At 38.4% G+C, this 20,812-nt stretch overlaps 1 protein-coding gene, 1 long non-coding RNA gene and 1 pseudogene across 5 annotated transcripts in view; 1 reads left to right on the top strand and 2 right to left on the bottom strand.

The window, feature by feature from the left end:
• The window catches only part of FTCDNL1 (formiminotransferase cyclodeaminase N-terminal like), a 187,358-nt gene extending 171,894 nt beyond the window's left edge, over positions 1–15,464 (top strand). For 2 of the 4 annotated variants that reach the window (XM_024452863.2, XM_024452852.2), the window contains 2 exons: positions 11,830–11,961; positions 15,262–15,349. In XM_024452863.2, the coding sequence (XP_024308631.1) occupies positions 11,830–11,960 (131 nt within the window). In that variant the 3' untranslated portion in view covers position 11,961; positions 15,262–15,349. Of the gene's footprint in view, positions 1–3,582; positions 4,563–11,829; positions 11,962–15,261 lie in introns of those variants that run through there. The other 2 variants (XM_024452865.2, XM_024452868.2) reach the window with 2 other exon arrangements.
• Positions 18,569–19,947, bottom strand: SEPHS1P6 (selenophosphate synthetase 1 pseudogene 6; annotated as a pseudogene).
• Positions 20,167–20,812, bottom strand: part of LINC01877 (long intergenic non-protein coding RNA 1877) — a 51,065-nt gene continuing 50,419 nt past the window's right edge. The window contains exon 7 of the long non-coding RNA NR_110270.1: positions 20,167–20,296. This is a non-coding gene — a long non-coding RNA (long intergenic non-protein coding RNA 1877). The remainder of the gene's footprint in view (positions 20,297–20,812) is intronic.

The raw sequence follows: 20,812 nt of genomic DNA, 5'->3' as shown, positions 1-20,812 counted from the left end.
ATTATAAAGATGACATAACAATGGATAAGGAAAATAAATTATCATTAGAAAAATGAATAAAAGGGAAGAACAGACAATTCACAGAAGAACCATAAACAATAATGTTCATATAAAAATATTCAATATTAAATATGTAGTTAATGAAATTCAAACCAAATTAAAATTAGATTTTTCTCCCCCTGCTAAATCAACAAAGAATTTGAAAAGGAAAGAACATTTTGAATGCCGGTAAGATGGGTCCTCATTCAAACAAGTGCTAGCGGCAGTGTGAATTGGTACAAGCTTTCTGAGAAGTAGTTTGGTACTGTGTGTATCAAGAATCTTTAAAACATAATGTATTGTTTCATTCAAAAATTCCACTTCTGGAAATGTACCCCAAGGAAATAATCAGAAATGCAGATAAATATTTTTGAAAAGTAAATTGCAATTTTATAAGAAAAACAATAAAAAATTTCAGAATAAAGTAGTAATTAAATGAGTTATAATATGTAACTGATTTACTAGAAATTATGTTTATAGAGTTTTTTATGACATGGGGATCAAGAACTACAATAAAATGCCAACTGAACAAAATGTATGATTTCAACTCTGTAAATGTGTTCTTGTATATGTGTATGTATTTCCTCAATTCTAAGGTTGTTTTTTTTTATATTTCAGTGATTCCAAAATGAGGATAAATCATACACTTAATATAAATATTTTTTACAACCCAAAAAGCTATATTTAAATTAATAGATTATCTTACAATAAATTACATCTTACAGTCAAGGAAATACTGTGTCCACGTACTTAAAAAATATGGCTTATATAATAAAAAATTAAATTATTCTTTAAAAAGGAAAGAAAGTCCTGCATGGCATACCTTTAACAACTGCATTTCAAGTTTCTAAGGGGGCTATCTTACAGTTCTTCTGTGCCATGGTTATGGCATGTGCCCACATCTGCTCATCTATTTACCTTACTAAAAAGATAATCTATCTATTTTACTGAAAGCCCATTTGGAATGGACTTTCATTATGAATACTCACTAGATCCTACTGATCATCATTTTGTTTTGTGAGGTCCACAAGCCACCTCTTTTATTGTCCTCTCTGGAATTTTGCAATATAATAACATCATGTCTACTTATTTATTTACTGTTTCTAGAATTTGCTTCCAAACCCCCAATCTCCAACCTTTTGTAAACCCAAAGCGACTCTGTTTTGTTTGTCTTTCGACATATTTCTGTTTGTCCTCGATTCAATGGTTACCTCACAATCATGCCTAGGAGTTCCTTTAGATTCCTCTGGAAATGAGGGTAGGATTCATTTAAGCAGCCCTCCCTTTTCTAGAAATTTGTGTCCCCTTTAACCCATACTTGACGTTTAAGTTTTGAAAATAATTTTCCTCAATGGAACTGTTTCTCTCATCTATTAGCATTGTACTGTCATCTCCAGTATTGTACATTTTACTTTCTTGTTCACATCAGTGATATAAACAGAGTTGAAACGATTGGTTTTATTGCTTTTGTCACTGTTGTAAGCTTTGGCTTATGAGCACATTAACGATTCTGACAATTTTCTTAGACATTTCACAATTTGTGACCTTGGTTATATGACCTTCCTTGCTTTATATATGTATTCTTTCAAAATCTAAACTCATCAGAGGATTTCTGGGCAGTCTTACTCATGTCCTTATTTCCACATTTATTTATCATAACATGGTCAGAATTTCATTTTTAGAGCCCACCATCTCTCTTAGGCAATGCTCTCTCTTCATAAAGCTATATTTTCAACTTCCTCTAAACTACTTTTCAAATCTTCTTAGTCTTAAGGCCTTGGATATATGCTGGACTCTGACCAAAACTCAACATCTTATATATTAGTTATTCCTAGATGGCATGATCACTTTTTTCTGTAGTCCCTGTTGTTATTATGGTCTCAGAAAATGAAAGATTTAAATGAATAGTATACTTTGTCAAGATAATTAGGCTAAGTAATTGATATCAGCAAGTAGCTGTGTGGCAGGGGTCTGCCTAGTCCTGATTGCTTGGTTTTATTCTGTAACACAAAGTGAAAGCTGTCAATTTTAGGTTTTGGCCTTAGGGAAATGTAACATGACTAGTCCAGCTATAGCTTCGTTTGAAAAGCTTCCAAGTCTACATACATGTTATATAGAAGCACACATAGTACACACATGGCACATTGAAATCAAGACTCCGTAGTACCTCAACACGCTTCTCCAGGGCCCTGTAACTCATGACCACAATGAGCAGAGCAGCGGTGTTCCTTGTTTATTCCATCTGCGTAACCCAATAGTAGTAAAATTAAAGCTTCATAAACAAGAAGATATTGAACTCTTTAGCAAAGTCAAGTATGTTGTGAAAAAACCCAAATGGGTTTTTCAATGCAGACATTTTGTCGAGACGCTTAATTTTGTTTGTCGGACCCAAAATGTGGGAGTTGCAACAATCATTATTTCTTTTCCATGTGGGACATAACAACATAACAACTTATATTGTTAGCATTTTGTCCTAGCCTTCTTTGTTAGGTTTTGGTTGAATTCTCAATTGCAATAATGATATATGTGATCACTAAAGAACATAAGTCAGGATATCCACCATCTCTTAGATCAGCATTTGCTTAAGAACATCAACTGGTGTGAAGGAAGAAAATATTTGAACTTTGATTTTTACTTCTTATCTCATCAATTTTATTTTTTGTGCATGTTTTGTTATATATATAATATATTAATATAGGGGTACATTTTATAAAGCATATTGATAAATAAGTGTAAATATACTGGGGGATTAAACTGTATTGATTGTGGTTCATGATCAAAAAAGTTGGAGACCATTATGTTTTATATAAAAATGGCCCCCAACATTTTTGATTATATATAATATATATGAAACCTCCCAGAGCTTGGAACTTATATTTTGCTACATTAAAAATGGAATCTATTGATATTTATTGAGAACTCAATAGGAACAAATATGCTGGAGTATGAAAAACCAATTTAAATGAAAATAGAAATTCACTGACCAGCAAGGTCTGGCAAACATTAGAATGGGCCATAGAAATGGAGACTTCCGGTTGTCTCTCAATATCTGTTCTCTCTTCCTCCTTAGTAGCAGAACCCATGATTTTTAAACCATGCACATTCCTCAGTTTCTATTACTACTGGGTGCTATATGTGACTGAGTTATAGCTAATGGGATATAATCAGATGTATGCAACTTCTGAGATGTGTCCTTAAAAGGAAAGGAAGCCACTTGTGGTGGCTCATTCCTGTAGTCCCAGCACGTTGGGATGCTAAGGCAGGAGGATCACTTGAGCTCAGTAACTGGACACAAGTCTGGGCAACACAGTGAGACCCCTGTCTCTACAAAAAATACAAAAATTAGCTGGGCTTGGTGGTGTGCTCCTGTAGACACAGCTACTTGGGAGGCTAAGGTGGGAGGATCCCTCAAGCCCAGGAAGTTGAAGCTGCAGTGAGCTATGATCACTATACTCTAGCATGGACAATAAAGTGAGACTCTGTCTCAAAACAGGAGGTTGGGGGTGGGTATGCCATTCTTCTGCTCTTCCTTCCTGCTGGCAGGAATAAGACTAAACATCAGACATCTATCTTGAACCGTGAGGAAGAAGCCACTCACTGAGGATGATGGAGCCACACTCAAAAGGACCAAGACAGAAGGACGATGGAGTCATTATACCAGCTCCGGACTGCTGAGCTCCAGATTGCCTTTATGAGAGAAAAAAAAATCAATTTCTATTTTGTTAAAGCACTGTAATTTTGAGTTTTCTGTTGTTCACTACTGAATCTTATATGGCTAATGTAGTTATTAATTTTAATTAATTTATTAACAAGATTAAATTAAATTTATTAATTTTAATTGTGAAATATTTTAAAAGTACAGCATATTGAATATTGCATCATAATATCTTATATACTATGATTTAATTATATACACTTATTCCAACCTTTATTGAACACTAATGCATATACAGAGAGGAAAAGATAGTGATTACTTATAGTTAAAATAGGAGATGTAGACACAAACTACAACAATTAAAAGCAAGAGTGGGACAATAAAGGAACTGTAGAAGAGAAGAGAATATTATCAGGAGGAGGGAATGTGGAAGAAACTGGTAGATAGGGATGATCATGCAGACACAAAGTACCTTCTGATGACATTGAGAAAGCACGAAATGTCGACAAAAAGGGGTCAATAGATGGAAAATTGTTCCAAATTTGGTCTGGAATAAAACTCTTTGTGTGTGAGACACTTCACAACCAACTTTCTTCTGCAATGAAATTAGCATTCCTGATACATGCTTAAGCAATTTTCTGAGAAACTTTAATGCAATTAAAAGCTTTTCTGGGAAGTCAGCTCCTTACCTCCTCTATTGATGTTCTTTAACCAGACAGATTATTTTTCTGAATTTTGTCTAAAATTTTTATCTAAATATTCTCCTTTTCCATAATACCTCCCTACTAAAAGTGAATCTTTGAATTAGCCTCATTGGATTTCTTCCCCGGCAGCATGAGAAATAAAAACTTAGATATGTCTTTGTAAATAAATTTGTAGAAAAGGTTTTTTTATTGGCCTAATTACATTTTGACAAAATAAAGTGTGCATATGAGGACATAGTTGCTAAGACAGGCTAAATGATACTGGAAAGCAATGCATACTGGGCTAAGGAATCTAATCTCTGGTTGGGAGTATGGAGCCACTGAAAGTGGCCAGAAACACAGAAAATACTGAAATGCATAGTTGTTAAATTGCATTGAAGAGTGATGCAATCCAGATAATATTGTAGGGCTACTTATTTGGAAATAGTGTGCTGGGTAATCCAGGAGGATCTGAGCTGCTTCACTATTATTCAACAGAAACTGCTATGTGAAGTTCACCAGTACCCACCTTGTGCTACCTGTGATTTCTGCAGCACTGATCTCAGCCTTCATTCTTCTTGACCTACATGGCTCATTCATGGGGTTGTCTCCCCTCTCCTTATGAAAAGTCTTCTCACTTGAGCTGTCATGGCATTGTACTGTCTTGATTCTTCTTTTCCTCTTTACTTTACCAATTCCCTGATGACCATTATTTTGTCTACTCAGTGACATTCTTCCTTCTTCCAGCCTCAGAATGCAGCTTTCCTTCAGTGGCTGCCCTGTGACCTCCTGCTCTGACACCTGCTCCCTCTTAGGGTTTTCATACCTGATGGTACATCGGGACTTCCTGCAGCATAGTAAATATCTTTCACCATATAAAATGTAAGAGCCGTTTCTATTAGCACTATCTTGAAAATAGCAGATACATTTCCATAGACTTGGGCTGGGCTGAGAAATCTACCTGGATGCATGGGGGTGAATCAAATGACATCTCAGTAATTTATTTCTACACTGGGATCCTAAGCTTATGTTTTTGTGTTTTAACTTGGAAAATCTTTGTCTGACTTTAACCCTGAAGGACTATATTAAGGAATACTTTCCATATTAATATTAACAATATGGTTTATGGCACATTTAAATTAGACATAATCAAAAGTCTCATTTTGCAAGTCTGAAAAAAGAATGACACTCTATGATATGATTTTATCAGGTTATTTTTCTTTCTTATATCTATTTCATCTCAATGTCTTGTTTATGCATCTAATTTTGCAGTTGTCACATGGAATTATAAATTCAACTGTGAATTTCCTGTGAACGCATGGACTGTATGAGTTTGTTTCTGTATTCCAATTGTTTTAGTACATGCCTAGCATATAGTAGGTGCAAAACAAAATTTGCCAATTAAATTAAAACAAAAAATGATGTCATCACGAAAAAATTATGTAGCAAAAATTAGAAGCTAAATAAGAGTAGAAATTATATTGAGAAGATTTGGAAGGTCTGAATCTTATTCATGATTAATTTTAAGGAAATGTCAATGGAAACTACTTTTAGCTTTTATTCTTTGTGACTTTTTTTTTTTTTTTTTTTTTTTGAGACAGAGTCTTGCTCTATCAACCAAGCTGGAGTGCAATGGAGTGATCTCAGCTCATTGCAACCTCCACCTCCCAGGTCTAAGCAATTCTCCTGCCTCAGGCTCCCAAGTAGCTGGGATTACAGGCACATGCCACCACACCCAGATAATTTTTGTATTTTTAGTAGAGACGGGGTTTCACCATGTTGACCAGGCTGATCTCAAACTCCTGGCCTCAAGTGATCTTCCCACCTCGGCCTCCCGAAGGGCTGGGATTACAGGTGTGAGCCACTGTGCCCAGCCAATTTTGTGACTTTCATTTGCAGTTGACACTCACGTCTCCCTGACTTTCTCTGTGATTGTCTAAAAAGAATCTGCAAATTCTTTGATACTCCTGCAATAAAAGATTGAGTCTAATTACCCTTCCTTTGAACATGGGTCAGGTTTAGTGACTCAATTCTACCAAACAGAAGAGGGTGGGGGGCAACCTCCTAACAGTTCTGAGGCTGGGTTAGGAGCAGAGATGCAGCTTCTGCCTGACTCTATCTCTTAGGAGATGTGCCTTTTGGGGCTCAGGCTGCTATGTTAGAAGTCCAGATATCCTAGAGCTGCCCTGATGCAGAGAACAAGCAGAGAGACCACTTAGAGAAGGTCCAGTTATTCCAGTTGCCAGCTGTCTGAATCTTTCCAGCCAGAGCACCAGGTGTCAGGTATGTGAGTGAAGAAGTCTTCAAGATGACCTCAATCCCAGCCACTGTCTTCCTGTAACCTCATTAGACCCCAAACCACCCAGCTACCCTGCTCCCAAATTCCTGAGCCACAGAAATCTAAAAGATAATAAATGATTTTTATTATTTTACACCGCTAAGTTTTGGGGTGATTTGCTATACAGCCATAGATATACACTCTCACTAAATTATCATCTCTAAAATCAGCCAAATTCATCTATTTAAGTGCATCATGCTTTTCAAAACATGTTAAAACTTACATGTAGTAAATCTATTTATATGCTTCTAAATTTTATTCCCATTTTTTTGTGTATATCCCTGATTAGCTAAAGCAAAGACCCTCTCATGTCAGTTTGAGAGTTATGAATATGAAACTTCAGAACTTGCAGCCTTTCAGAGCTACCAAGAATGTAATACATTTAGGGCTGCCTGGGAGGAAGACGGATAGAGAAGGAGCAAGGGTACCAGGTAGCTATGGAAGTCAATCAGCAGGTGATTGGCACACACTGGTATCCCCAGTACAAACAGAGTGTAGTCTTCCAGGGCAAAAAACATGTAACTCTTAAAGGAAGATAGCATATCATCTTTTCTGTGACCGAGAACGTGGGAGAGTCTGAATCTGGACGATGACACTGTGATCCCACCCCATGTTAAGATCTGAGGTTCTGAAGCAGGAACAATTATAAACAGATACAATAAAACTTAAAAAGAAGGAATTTCTTATTTTTAGAGCTTTGAGTTTTGTTATAAGAACTGTGTTCTTTGATCTGACAGGAAGAGAAGTCTATGTTCCTCTTAAGATATATATGGTGCTCAGGTCTTTAGGTACTCTGGGTGAGACAGAAACAATTCCTGGCCAAAAGATTGCCAGGAAAGCCAGCTGGCAGGGCAGCTGGGCTAATATTGTCCCAGCTCAGTCAATCTGGAAGAGAACATGGACCACTCAGCTAGCAGGGGACAGTAGACCTTTGAGGATCAGTGCATGATTTTAGGAGCTCCTAAAAGAATCTTCAATTTTGAAAAGAACCTGGCATTTGTTAGTTGCCTGTGGAATTTTGGAAAACTTTTGCATATTGTCAAACTTCAGGTTCTTATGACTTGACTCGTCCAGGATATGTAAGAGAGTTTGGGAGGTTTTTTTTTTCCTTTCAAACTTTCTTTAACTTGTTTGTAATTAGGGCTCTTGCCTACATGTGGTTCCCTCTGCCTGGAATGCCCTTCTCCCAACCTGCACTCCCATAGGCTGCCCTCCCATCATAAGCATATGCTTCTTGGGGTGGCTTCCAAGAACTCTCCCTTTTGCCACCAGAGTTGATCACCACCTCATTTATGATATCACTGATGGTGCTTAGGCCTCTACAAGACCCTTTTCCATGTTGTGTGGTCATTATTTATTTTCTGACTTCATTCACTAGGCTGTGAGCTCCTAGAAGGCTACCTTTTTTTTTTTTTTGCCATGGATTTAATACAGATATTATGCCTTTCCTGGTTTCCTCTTCCCACTTCCCGGGCAAGCCAAGCAGTAGGTACTCTCCTAATGGGTCTTGACACTTGCCATTTATGGAAACACAGACAGGGTTTTCCACTGACCTTCTCTAGGTTGCCTGGCAAGAGCCATCTGGGCAGCTTGTATGCTCAGCACTGGCGTGTACTTCTTCCGAGAAGCTGGTAGTAAAACTTAGGTTATTTAGCCCTCTTTTCACAAGGCTACTGTCATGTGAGCCTTATAGAAGGACAGAAGAAGAGGGGACTGGGCCCCTCTTGTGTACTGTATCTGGCCCATCTAACCAACCTCTTAGTAGGAAAGGGGAGCTATGAGTCTACTGACTCTGCCTGTGCATCTCAGCCTGCTCTAGTGTCTCTTGTGCCATGTTCAACTGTGCCCTTTGCCTGATACTAGGCCACTGCTTGGAGATAAAGTGATCAAGAGAAGATGTATACACACACACATACATACATATATACATACATACAAAGTCTGTGAGTTTTGGGGAACAAGTGGTTTGCGGAAAAGCTAAGGTTTAAAGGTCTCCATCAACCCCCATCAGTCACTCTCTTCTCTTCTACTGATACAAAAAAGAGAGAAAGACCTTATTACTTTGCCTGAATGTGTTTTCTGCAACTTCCTTGTTATTTTGATTGAAAAGTCTCTTGATTTCTGCCATTGATCCTAGACAAAACTGATTCTTGAGTCCTATTTTGCCTTGGTAAATAATCAGGGTTTCTACTTAAAAACCCAGAGACTGGAAAGTGACAGCAGGTAAATGCACCTACTGGAAAGCTGAAATAAATTTAAGTTTAAAAATCTCATTGTTGATACCTGCTAAATTTGCTGCCACTTCATTTAGAGGTGACTTCCAGTATTTGGCATTCCAAAATTAAATATTAGGAGAATCTCTGCTTTTAAGCCAGAAACAGAAAGTTCTCTCTATCACAAATATCTACCCATTATCTTTCTGCAAATTATTAAAAGGATTGATGTCTCAAAAAAGGAAAACAGTAGGAATATAGTAACTTTCCCAGGGTATAAATCCATGTAAGGATTATGCTTGCAGGTAGAAACATTATGTTTCATGTAATCACCATTTGAAATTTTAATTTTGAATTGTAGTACTTGCCCAGGAGAGCCACTACATCAATCTCAAAACTAGGAAAAAACTCATTGTTTCAACTTGAGAGCTATTTTGGTATTGGTTTATAACATGCCTTTCTCTTAAGACTCCCGAAAATTATATTTTATTATAAAATTCCCCAAATCTTGTATAAAATATTATCTTTATGTAGATAACATCTGGAAGAGTGACCCAGCATTGCATAAAAGCAAATCAAGGACGGAGGTAAGAATAGTTCATTCCTGGATTTCCTAATTCTGTTCTTTTGTTATAAACTGTGTATTATTTTACTGGCTTTATGGTTTCACAAACAAAAGGTTCGGCAGAATCTTTGGACATCAAATGGCCTTTATGAAACAATGTCTTGATGAGTTAAATAAAAACGAATCAGAAACACATGGACTCGACTTCCCTTGAAATATAAGAGGACGCACAAATCAAGGCAAAGAGCACTTAACAAACACTGGGTTTGGGTTTCCTGAACCTGAAATGTTAAAATAATTAGCAAGGACTTATTGAGGCTGAAAAATGATCAGTTCCAGTATTTCTAACTCAAAACTAAAATGAGGAGAGGCGGGAGGGTCCTAGAAGAGAAGGGAATGGTCATGGGGCAGATGGAAACCTTTGAAAATTAGCTTTTCCTCCAAGCTGTTTGTTTCCCAAAGCTCACAAACTTTGCTTTTATTTATTTATTTTTTTCTCTTTTGCTTTGATTTCCAGATTTCAGCTGAAGACCTATCTAAAATATTCTGAATTGGTTCAGCTGAAGTCTTTCTAGTCTCTTCTCAAAGGCAGAAAACCATGATATTTAGTTAACAATGCTCTGTTCATTCTTGAATTGAAAGATAAATTCATATATTGGTTATCCAGGAAGTTCAGTTAAGTTGAATTTATTTCCTAGTGAGTTGGACTTCTCAGCATTCCCCAAACCCGCGAAATAAATTCTTTCAGAAAGCACTGTGAAAAAGTTGTAAGAAAGAATTATTACGTACTAGACTACAGATTTTAAAATAGATTGTAAGCCTAGAGGAAAAAAAAAGAAAAGCTTGAATTATTACAATCTGAGATACAACAGTTTCTTTGCTTCATCCTACACTGTATCTGGGATTCCCAGAATTTCTTCTCTGGCCCAGATCTGATTCTTTCTCCTTTCTTCCCGAGTTCCCCTGGGAACTCAGCCTGCTTCCTTAATTCTTCCACAGCTGTTTCTCTCTACTCTTTGCAATTTTTGTCTCCAAATCTGAGTCTGGCTGCAGTGTGAAGCAGTTACTCACGACTACTTCAGAAAGCATATATTTTTAAAAATATTATTTTAGGTATTTTATTAGTAATAATAATAATAGGAAACTGACTGGGGTGACAAACATAACAACCAAGGGGAGGTCTCAGAGTAGTGGCAGAGTAATCCCTGATCTCTTGGTTCCTTACTTCCTCTGTCAACTGAAAACTTGAATACAGCAGTCCTGCCTTACCTCTTATCTCTGAGGGTAGATCTCAGCTCCCAGACCTGCTCATCTGAAGGTCAAGTGGGTCCTTCATTGGCCATGCCTGGAGATACTATGCAGATTGCATCATTAAAGTCTACTTGTATTAAGGGAGAAGTTTCCATTTCTGAAGACCTTCTGATTATAGGACATTTGTTCACTACTGCTATGTGCGGTATAAAATCAACCTCTTTGGGCATATTCTCATGTACTCCCTCCTATTTATGAAAAACTATTTTTAAGGTATTTCAGACTCATCAATTTTTAAACTTTAAAGTTAAAAATAATATTTTTATCACTTAAATATGAGATGTTTCACTTAGTCATCAATATAATATATATTTGTTTCCAGTAGGTCCAAAATGTCTGGCACTGTGAATACAATGTGGTCAAGCGTGTGGTGTAATTTAAAACAACAACTGTGAAAGCATTCAGCAAAGCCCAAGAGTTCTAAGGGGAGTTCTTCATTAATGCTGTCAGCAAGCACCATCACACTGCTTCCTCTGCATCTCTACTAATAGTATTTTAGCACATGATGTAAAATAAAAATAATATTTTGGGTTCGGTGACTACTATTTTTTGTGCATATTGTCTTTCTCTTGTGATGCAAGACCTTTTCAGATGCTTGAGTTCATTGTTTCTTCTCTTGCCACTCTCATAGCTCCCTTCTATAGAGCACTTACTATGAGGCTTATGCCTCATTTAATCCTTGAGCAACCCTGTGAAGAAGTTAAATAATCATATTTCATGACAGAACAAATTTAGACTCAGACACATTAATTGGCTCAATACCAAGCCACTAATAAAGTGGAAGAACCCACATCTGAACCCAGATCCAATTCTATTTTCTTTGATTTATTTATTTATTTTTATTTTGTTTTGTTTTCTTGAGACAGGGTCTCACTCTGTTGCCAAGGCTGGAGTGCAGTGGTGCAATCTCAGCTTACTGAAGCCTCGACCTCCCAGGCTCAAGCAGTCCTCCCACTACGTGCATGCCACCACACCCAGCTAATGTATTGTTGTTTTTTGTTTGTTTGTTTGTTTGTTTTTTGTAGAGACGAGGTCTCACTATGTTGCCCTGGCTAGTCTCCAATTCTTGCTGTCTCGCGAGCCTCCCATCTTGGCCTCCCAAAGTCCTGGGATTACAGGGATGAGCTACCATGTCCAGCCCCAGATCCAACTCTAAGGTATATTTTATCTCAACATTCCTCTCCATTTTCTTGGTCGTCTGTACACAATGCCTAGACCTTTCAAAGAAAGGTGCTATATAAAAACCAGTTCTGAAGTTAGAGTAATAATGGACAGGAAAACCAACTCACTATTTTATAACTGTATCATTATAAGTCCATAAAATGTTAGAGTGGTAGGGGCATTTATGATCACCAAATTTAACCTCATTTTTACATAGAAAAAAGCCTCCTAGGAATAGAATGTCATCTTCAGAGTGGCACTTAGGTTGCAATCACAGTCCCCACTCCTCAAGCCAGTGTGCTTTCCAATGTATTTACACCTGGTCTGACGAATCATAGTATAGACAAAAGAGAAAAACTCCACCAAGGAAAAGCAACTCCACTTCACTAGATCCCCAAAGGTATCACTTTTTTTTTTTTTTTTGAGATGGACTCTTGCTCTGTTGCCCAGCCTGGAGTGCAGTGGCGCAATCTCCACTCACTGCAACCTCGCCTCCTGGGGTCAAGAAATTCTGCCTCAGCCTCCTGAGTAGCTGGGATTACAGGCATGCACCACCATGCCTGGCTAATTTTTGTATTTTTAGTAGAGACGGGGCTTCACCATGTTGGTCAGGCTGGTCTCGAACTCCTGACCTTGTGATCTGCCCACCTCGGCCTCCCAAAGTGCTGGGATGACAGGTGTGAGCCACCACCCTGGACCAAGGTATCACATCATTAAGGTTATTGCCAAAGCTACCATTTCTAAAACCAAGAGTTCTGAGGAGAGTTGTGAGTGTTTTGCATTGGATTCTAATGGCTGTCCAATCATTGAATATATGAAGTTCTTTTTGACAGTTGGATGTCAAGAGAGAAAAAGGCAGTGTGACCATTTTTCAAATGCCACATGTATGCGTAACATGGGCATGTGCTATAGTACCATTAATTGAGTCCTTGTTTTTTGTTTAGAGTATACAGTTGGGTCTAGAATTCAGCAAATCTGTAATAGCTCTTTGATTGCTTAGACTCAGGGGTCCTTCCTTATCAGTCCTAAATTATCTTCCTGTGTGTGCGTTTTTTCTTTATTTGCCACAAGTCCTAGAAATTCAGCTTGTTTTCCTATTTTAGTTTAAAAAGATGATGGAGCAACCACAATTATTTTTATTGAACACTTGTTATATGCAAACACTGTCTTTAGTGCTTTACATGCATTATTTTGCTAATCCTTGTGAAGTAGGTCCTATATTATTCCATATTTATAGGTGAGGAAACTGAGATACAGGTTAAGTAACTTTAGCAGGTTAAATCACAAGGAAGTGACTGAGCTGCTCTGCACTATGTCATTTTGGTTTCTCCCAGATTTCTCCTTTGTTACTCCTAAAAGGCAGGCACATACTATATGCCCTTTCCCATCACATTAGAAAAAAATAGGGTTTTGCTGGTAATTACTGCTACAAAACAGTAACACAATCTAAACATTAGTTAGTTATGAGGTAACAGGGCCTTACAAAGTTCTTTTGATTGTGATTTGTGGTCTGTAGTTTATGACTGCCTCCTGACCTGACAAAAAGAAGCCATAATCCTCTCTGTTCTCTTCTTTCTCGATCTCCTGACCTCGCGATCCACCCGCCTCGGCCTCCCAAAGTGGTGGGATTACAGGCTTGAGCCACCGCGCCCGGCCGTTCTCTTCTTTCTTTCTTTATTCTTTTTTTTTTTTTTTTTTTAAGACGAAGTTTTGCTCTTGTTGCCCAGGCTGATATGCAAATGGCACGATCTCGGCTCATTGCAACTTCTGCCTCCCTGGTTCAAGTGATTCTCCTACCTCAGCCTCCTGAATAGTTGGGATTACAAGTGTGCACCACCACCCCAGCTAATTTTTTTGTATTTTTAGTAGAGACGGGGTTTCACCACATTGGCCAGGCTGGTCTTGAACTCCTGACCTCAGGTAATCTGCCTGCCTCGGCCTGTCAAAATGCTGGTATTACAAGCATGAGCCACCATGCCTGGCTTGTTCTCTACTTTCATTTCCCTGGGGATAGCAGTCTTTTATTCCTGTGTGCCTTTTTGCCTACCTGAAGAAACTGGGGTGTCTAAAGACACTGGTGACGGAGGCTGAAGCAAAGGTGTATCTTGATCCCATCCCATGGGCTCATGTCACTACTGAGCCCCTCCAGACTCCATGGTATGCCCATCCCCAGGTTTCTGTGTATCCCAAAATGATCCCCTCTGGAAAGAGAAGTAGAAGGAAGGAGAGGATAAGGAAGGGAAGAAGAAATATTCTTATCAGTTAACATAATCAGCGTGTTTTCCTGTAGCATCTTGCTGGTAAATGTTGAGAGTGTACTTGGACTTAATTTTTCTTTTAAACAGATTCATCACTTCCCTTTATGGGCATAGTAAAGATAGATATGACTAGGATTATATGGCGAATTGGGCCATTGATTCCTAGCCTACTGGTTGTCCAGGCTATTGGCAGCAGGCGAGTAAATTTTATGCAGAAATGAGCTCCACTGTTTTTTCATAATCTAGTATTATGCTGACACTGTTATATGTTATAGAATAAAATCATAATTAAAATTTAAAAAAACCAAAGAAGTAATTCCAATGGGAAGACACATGCCTTGGCTCCGCCATTAATTAGTTTTGTGATTTTTGGCATATTCTTTGGCTTTTTGGGGACTCAGTTTCCTAGTTTTTAAAGTGAGAGAAAAAAACTTGTCATTTCTAAGATATCTTTAAGTTCCAGTATTCTGTGATTTATAGGAACCGTGTGAATAATGGAGGCTTTTGAAGCTTAAAAGTATAGTATTATAATGGATTTTATGCTTTTCTGTTATTTCAAATTTTATTAGACTTTTGGTTCTGGATATTAAAGCAGAATTGAATATTTTTCAATTAGCTCTGTAGGTAGTACTGAACACATATTTAATTCAGGAAGAAAAAAGCTAAAATCTTGTATTGGGGGAAAAAGAAGTGTTCTTCAGTTTTCTTAGACATTAAATGGCTCATTCAAAGCAACATTTTGATAAATTGTGTAAATGAGAGAAGAACATATGGATTAAATTTTCCTTGAAATACATACGCATTTAAAAATTAAGAAGAAAAAGTGCTTGGCAAAGCCCATTTGGGGTTCTGCCAAATGGAAAACATTTTAAAAATAGTTGAAGATGTAGTTTTATCTTGAAATGCTACAATATCACCGATCTTTATTGATTATATATTTTTAAATTTGTTAGTTACTCTCCTTATATTTATTTTTACACTTTTTTTTTAATGCTCTGGGGGCTTGTTCAATTATAGTACTTTTTTTTTTTTAAACAGAAAACACAGTCCATCAGTCACTGAAGAGCACGTCAGTGTATCCGTCTCTCCCTGTGTGAATCCTGTTACTTGGACTTGTGTAGAGGTTGCAGTTTCATCTTTCGTGTAGTAATGACTGGCATCAATTTATATCGATACAATGAAAAATTCTAAAGAACACTTTGTGGTAGAGAAATAAAGGAGATCTCGTCTTTGAAGATGCAGAATATGGCAAGTAACTTTCCAGTAAATCATTCTATTTTAGTGGAGGAGTTTTGAAGGAAGATAAGCCCTGAGTTTCCTGATTATGTATAATTCAAAAATAGATATTCAAAAGTCTCAGAGATAACATTCTTCTGTATAGATAGAAGAGTTTGCTTTGTCTATAGATCCCATTGTACAGCTTGAAGAAGAGAAGAATTATTTTCTCAAAATCTCAAAAATCATATTTCTGCAATTTTCTCAATCTCAGAATCACATCTAATTTCTGATCAAATTGGCAACACTCTCTAGTTCTAAGTGTTCAGTTCATCTGGAAAGAACTTGGTGCAATTTGTGTAATTACTTTACAGCTATCTGCAAAACAAACTGTGGGAGTCACGTCTCTGTCGATGAATGTATAGATTCAGGTCACTAGAACATAATCCTGAAACTGACATTCTCTGTAAGATTTTTCTCCTCTTTCGGTTCTCCTTTTTTTTTTTTTTTTTTTTTTTTTTTTGAGAAAGGGTTTCTCTCTGTCACCCAGGCTGGAATGTAGTTGCACAATCACGACTCACTGCAGTCTTGACCTCCTGGGCTCAGGTGATCCTCCCACCTCCCTCCCAAGTCGCTGAGAATACAGGTGTGTGCCACTACACCCAGCTAATTTTTGTATTTTTTGTAGAGATGGGTTTTCGCCATGTTTCCCAGCCTGTCTCCTTTCCTTTTTATGATTGAATCCTTTTGAAAAGAATGTTGTTTTGTTATAAAATTTTAATAAATGAAGAATTTATTTTGGTGTTAAAATCTTAAACCCTATTAGATGGTACCATAAGGGTTTGTATTCTACTCAGGATATGTCCAAGGAAATGATAGGATTTGTTTGCATAAGATGGTAACAATATCTTATCTTTTGAGGCTAATCTTTAAAACCCAAGAGTATGTGTTAATTGTTGGGTTGTCCTTTTTCTTCTATAGCATCAAAATATTATATAAGTTATTGTTAATAATTTTCAATGAATTCTTTATGATTTAAATAAAAATCATTCTTATTGGGCTCATATGTTTTACCCCCACAAAATTGTGAATAGAATTTGTACAGTTTCATGAACTCTGAAATAACAAATGTAGGCAATTTTCTTTTTCTTTTTTCTTACTCAGAGGTTTCCAACACATTTTATTTTGCAGACCACTGGTTTGTAGCTTTTTAGGACCAACATCTGTATCAATTCCTATAAAATGTTCAATCAATTTCAGTTCCATAGCAGGCTCTTCCATGCTGCGCACCATGCTTATGGCTGAAGGTCTAGTTACACACGCATAAAGGCTGCCCTTCCCGCTGGTTCCTGGACGAGGGCGCATCCAAGTTAAAGCCTCTTCCAGGAGCTCCATCTTCGCAGGGGGTCATTTCCTTTGGCAGTAAGTCAGTTTATGTGTGCGGCTTTGGTGCCTGTGAGCAGGAAGCACCAGAAACGTGCAGGATGTGCTATTTTTTCTCTGATGAAGATGGGCACTTGAGGATCCAGTGCTTGTGCTTAATGACAGGAATCCCTCAATTGCTTAGTAGGTTAAAATATAAGGAAGCCTCCACTTTATGCAACACAGATAACACCTAAATATAGGTCCCATGAAAGACTTAAAAGTTTTATAAAACTAAAATCTAGTTTTTCCCAATAAATTGTACTTTAGGCAAAACCCTCCCAATGCTTCTAAAATAATACTAAAAGGGGAATCTGATTATACAAGAGCAATTTAAAAAATTAAATATTTATTTGAATAACAAGTTTAAGTTGGAGCTGCAATGTTGGCCATGCAGGTTTTTAACACAGATCACAAAAAGCGTGCACAAAAAAGTACTGGTGCAAAGGACAAAATAATGCTAAGAATTAGGCTAAATATCTGCTGATTTCAAGAAAACAAAAGGCCTGAAATCACTGTACAAAATAGAAAATGTATTAAACACTAACATCCACAGAACAGTCTTTATTATTGATTATATTTAAAATTTATTTGCGTAATTATATATTTTGTAAATGAGTATTATACATGAGCCTCCTTTTGGAAGGCATTTCCTTGTAGCACTATAGAACGTCTAATTACATTGCAAAAAGTATCGTTCTTTGCTATCGATAAAGAAAACAGTTAGTGGTATTATTGTAAATATCAGAAAGGCTACAAAAAAGAAATAAGATTTCTTTTTTGTCTCTTCAAAGTGTTTTCCATGCAGTGAAGCACTTGCCCTGTTTAACTGAGTGCACTACTAGAGAATGTTCTGGGTCTGAGATGCTCTTGAGAGACAAGACTAGGCTTTTCCAAATCAAACATTCAAAGGAATCATGCAACCCTCTTATGACTGAGATACCGTCATGTGCCACTTATCAATGCTGTCTCTCCAGAAAACCATTCAAGACGCTTAAAAAAAATCAGACTTATGATAAATATACATAAAATGAAGACACCAACTGCTATTTGACAAGACTACTGGTAATGTCTGTGCTATGTGAAAGCACCTTTAAAAAGAGCCTATGCAGCAAGAGATAAGTGTCTAAAGATTCAAAATGAATCAACAGTATTGGATAACAATATAATTCTCAACTCAGAAGCTGCCTCAAGATTGGGTGCATCTTCAGTTAATGTAACAGGAAAAAAAGGTGACGGATTTTATTTTATTAATTGTATCCACTTACAAACCGACCTAAGGTCACCCGATGTGTAGACACAATGAGATTTCTGTTGTTTATAGTCTTTAATTGAAGTGATGATAAAGGAAATAGGTCTATTTAAAAACAAAACCAAACAGCTATTTCTGTCTAGATTAAGAGGTGGCCCCGTCAAGCATGTAATCCCAGCACTTTGGGAGGCCTAGGCGGGCGGATCACAAGGTCAGGAGATCGAGACCATCCTGGCTAACACGGTGAAAACCCGTCTCTACTAAAAATACAAAAAAATATTAGCCGGGCGTGGTGGTGCACGCCTGTAGTCCCAGCTACTCGGGAGGCTGAGGCAGGAGAATGGCGTGAACCTGGGAGGCGGAGCTTGCAGTGGGCCGAGATGGCGCCACTGCACTCCAGCCTGAGCGACAGAGCGAGACTCCGTCTCACAAAAAAAAAAAAAAAAAAAAAAAAAAAAGAGGTGGCCCAGGTGTGGGATTCATATTTTGGGTGGCCACTTGTGGTGCGACCTCGATGATCCAGGGTTTGTCTATGATTCTGGCTGTGCAGTTGCCCTTCTCTACAATCCCAATAATCCATGCTTGGTGGCCTTCACCATATTTGGGGGACTTTATCTCTGCACAGAACCGAGCTGCTTGCTGATGTGGTAAACAGATCAGAAGGCCGCCTGAGGTCTCTGGGCAGGTCCTGTGCATGAGGCCGAACATGTTTCCGCACGCCTTGCTCGCTGCAGCCATCTTGGCCAGCACCGGGAGGTTGTGAATTACAAATGACACCTCGTTCCTCTGCTGCTTGGCCAGGTTCTGCACGTGGCCCCAGATCCCAAAGCCCTTGATGTCAGTGGCCGCGTGGGCATTGAACGTGTGCATGAGTCCGGCAGCTGTCCCGTTGAGCCTTGCCATGTTCATCATCGCCTCCTGGTAGGCCAGCTCTACATCTTCTTGGGTGACCACTAGTTTAATCTTATTCCATTTCTTAGGAATATCCAGCCACTGGTGCACAGCCATTGCCACCTGTGTCCCCAGGGGTTTTGTCTACACCAGCATGTCTCCTGGCACTGCATTGTCTGCATGATAAATTCATTGGGCTGGCAGACAGTGGTAGCGACTCCTCCCAGGACAATCCAGGGGTTTAGAACTGTTTGGCCGCCTGTTACAGACGCTCCTGCGTCTTCAGCTGCGTCTTTAAAACCTTGGATAATCTGAGGCATCACTTTATCCCTTTCCCTGTCAGTCATTTTATTACTGACTCCGAGGAGCATCAGCATATTGTCGCATTCCATGACCCCCGTTGCGTAGAGGTCACTGAGGACATTGACTGACACATGCTATCCTGCCCATCATGTAAGGGTCGTCTACCATCGGGTAAACGTAATCTATGGTTTGAACCAAGGAAAGCCCACCGTGCCTCAAAGGAATGACACAAGTATCCATTCCAATGCCAAGCCTTGGCATAACGGCTCCCAGAAACTGCTCATCTTCTTGGAAGTGGTTCTTCTGTAAAGATTCCAGAAATTTTTGCAGGACATCTTGGGGCACTTTGCAGCCTGTACCCTTCAGTTCAGTGAATCTGGTTAGCCAGAAGCTCCTGTCCAATTCGTAACTTTCTGGGTTAAAAGGACTCCCGCGTACACATGGTTCTTGTGCCCCGCTCTCCTCACAGCTCAGCCCCTCCCCTCCCTCTGGGGGTTGGCTGGGTTCTTTACGGATCCACCAGCTCGCTTCGCGCCCTCCGCCTCCTCCCGAAAACGGGCCGCGGGCCGTTCCCACAATGCACCGGGCGCGGCCGGGCTCCGTTATCTCGCTTGAATAAAAATGCCGCGCCCGGCGGCGGCTGGGGGGCCCGCGCTTGGGCGCCGCGGGGGCTCGCCTGGCTCGGCTCGGCTCTGCGGCGGCCGGGGCGCCGCGTTCCCCAAGTGTAGGCAATTTTCTGTAACAACTCAGAGCAGACACAGAAGTGAAGACCTAGATGACACCTTGGAACTTCTCATGTGCTGGGTTTTGTGTTTAAAGGCCATTCAACATAATACAGCATATTTAAAACATAAAGGAAGTAATTTTTAAATGCTTTATTTACTTAGGGAATGTTATAAATACTGTAAAATGTTTACTCTCCAAACACTTTAAATATAAATTCTTTTATTCCTTGGTGTATTTGAAAGTAGTAGCATTTATTTAGTAAGTCTGAAAGAGAAATGAATGTAATTATTTTACTGATGGTATTATAGGAAGTTATTTCAGTTCATTAATAAAGGAAGCTAGTTACTTAAATGCCTTCAAGTGTAAGGGGTTAATTTATCATTGGTAAGTTAGACTTGAGTATATCACAGTGGTTTGGAGAATTAGATTATTGTCATAGTTTCTCAGTTACCATGAGAACTTACTTTTTTTAAAAAATCAACTTTATCAAGGTATAATTTACATGAATAAAATGCACCCATTTTAAGCGTACATTTAGATGAGTTTTACAAATCTGTACATCTGTGGAACTACCATCACCACAATCAGGATATAAAAACATCTACATCACCCAGAAAGTTTCTTCATGTTCCTTTGCATTCAATCCCCTCCCCTACAGACCCTCGGAAAACACTGATGTACTTTACACCACAATAGATTAGTTTTGTCTGTTGTAGAATTTGATATAAATTCAATTACAAAATATGTACTCTTTTGTGTCTGACTTCTTTCACACAACAT

This window comes from Homo sapiens, chromosome 2, assembly GCF_000001405.40.
Source record: "Homo sapiens chromosome 2, GRCh38.p14 Primary Assembly".
In the NCBI taxonomy this organism is placed as follows: Eukaryota; Metazoa; Chordata; class Mammalia; order Primates; family Hominidae; genus Homo; species Homo sapiens.
The sequence above is the reverse complement of the archived record's forward strand: the minus strand, read 5'-3'. Positions and strand labels throughout refer to the sequence as shown.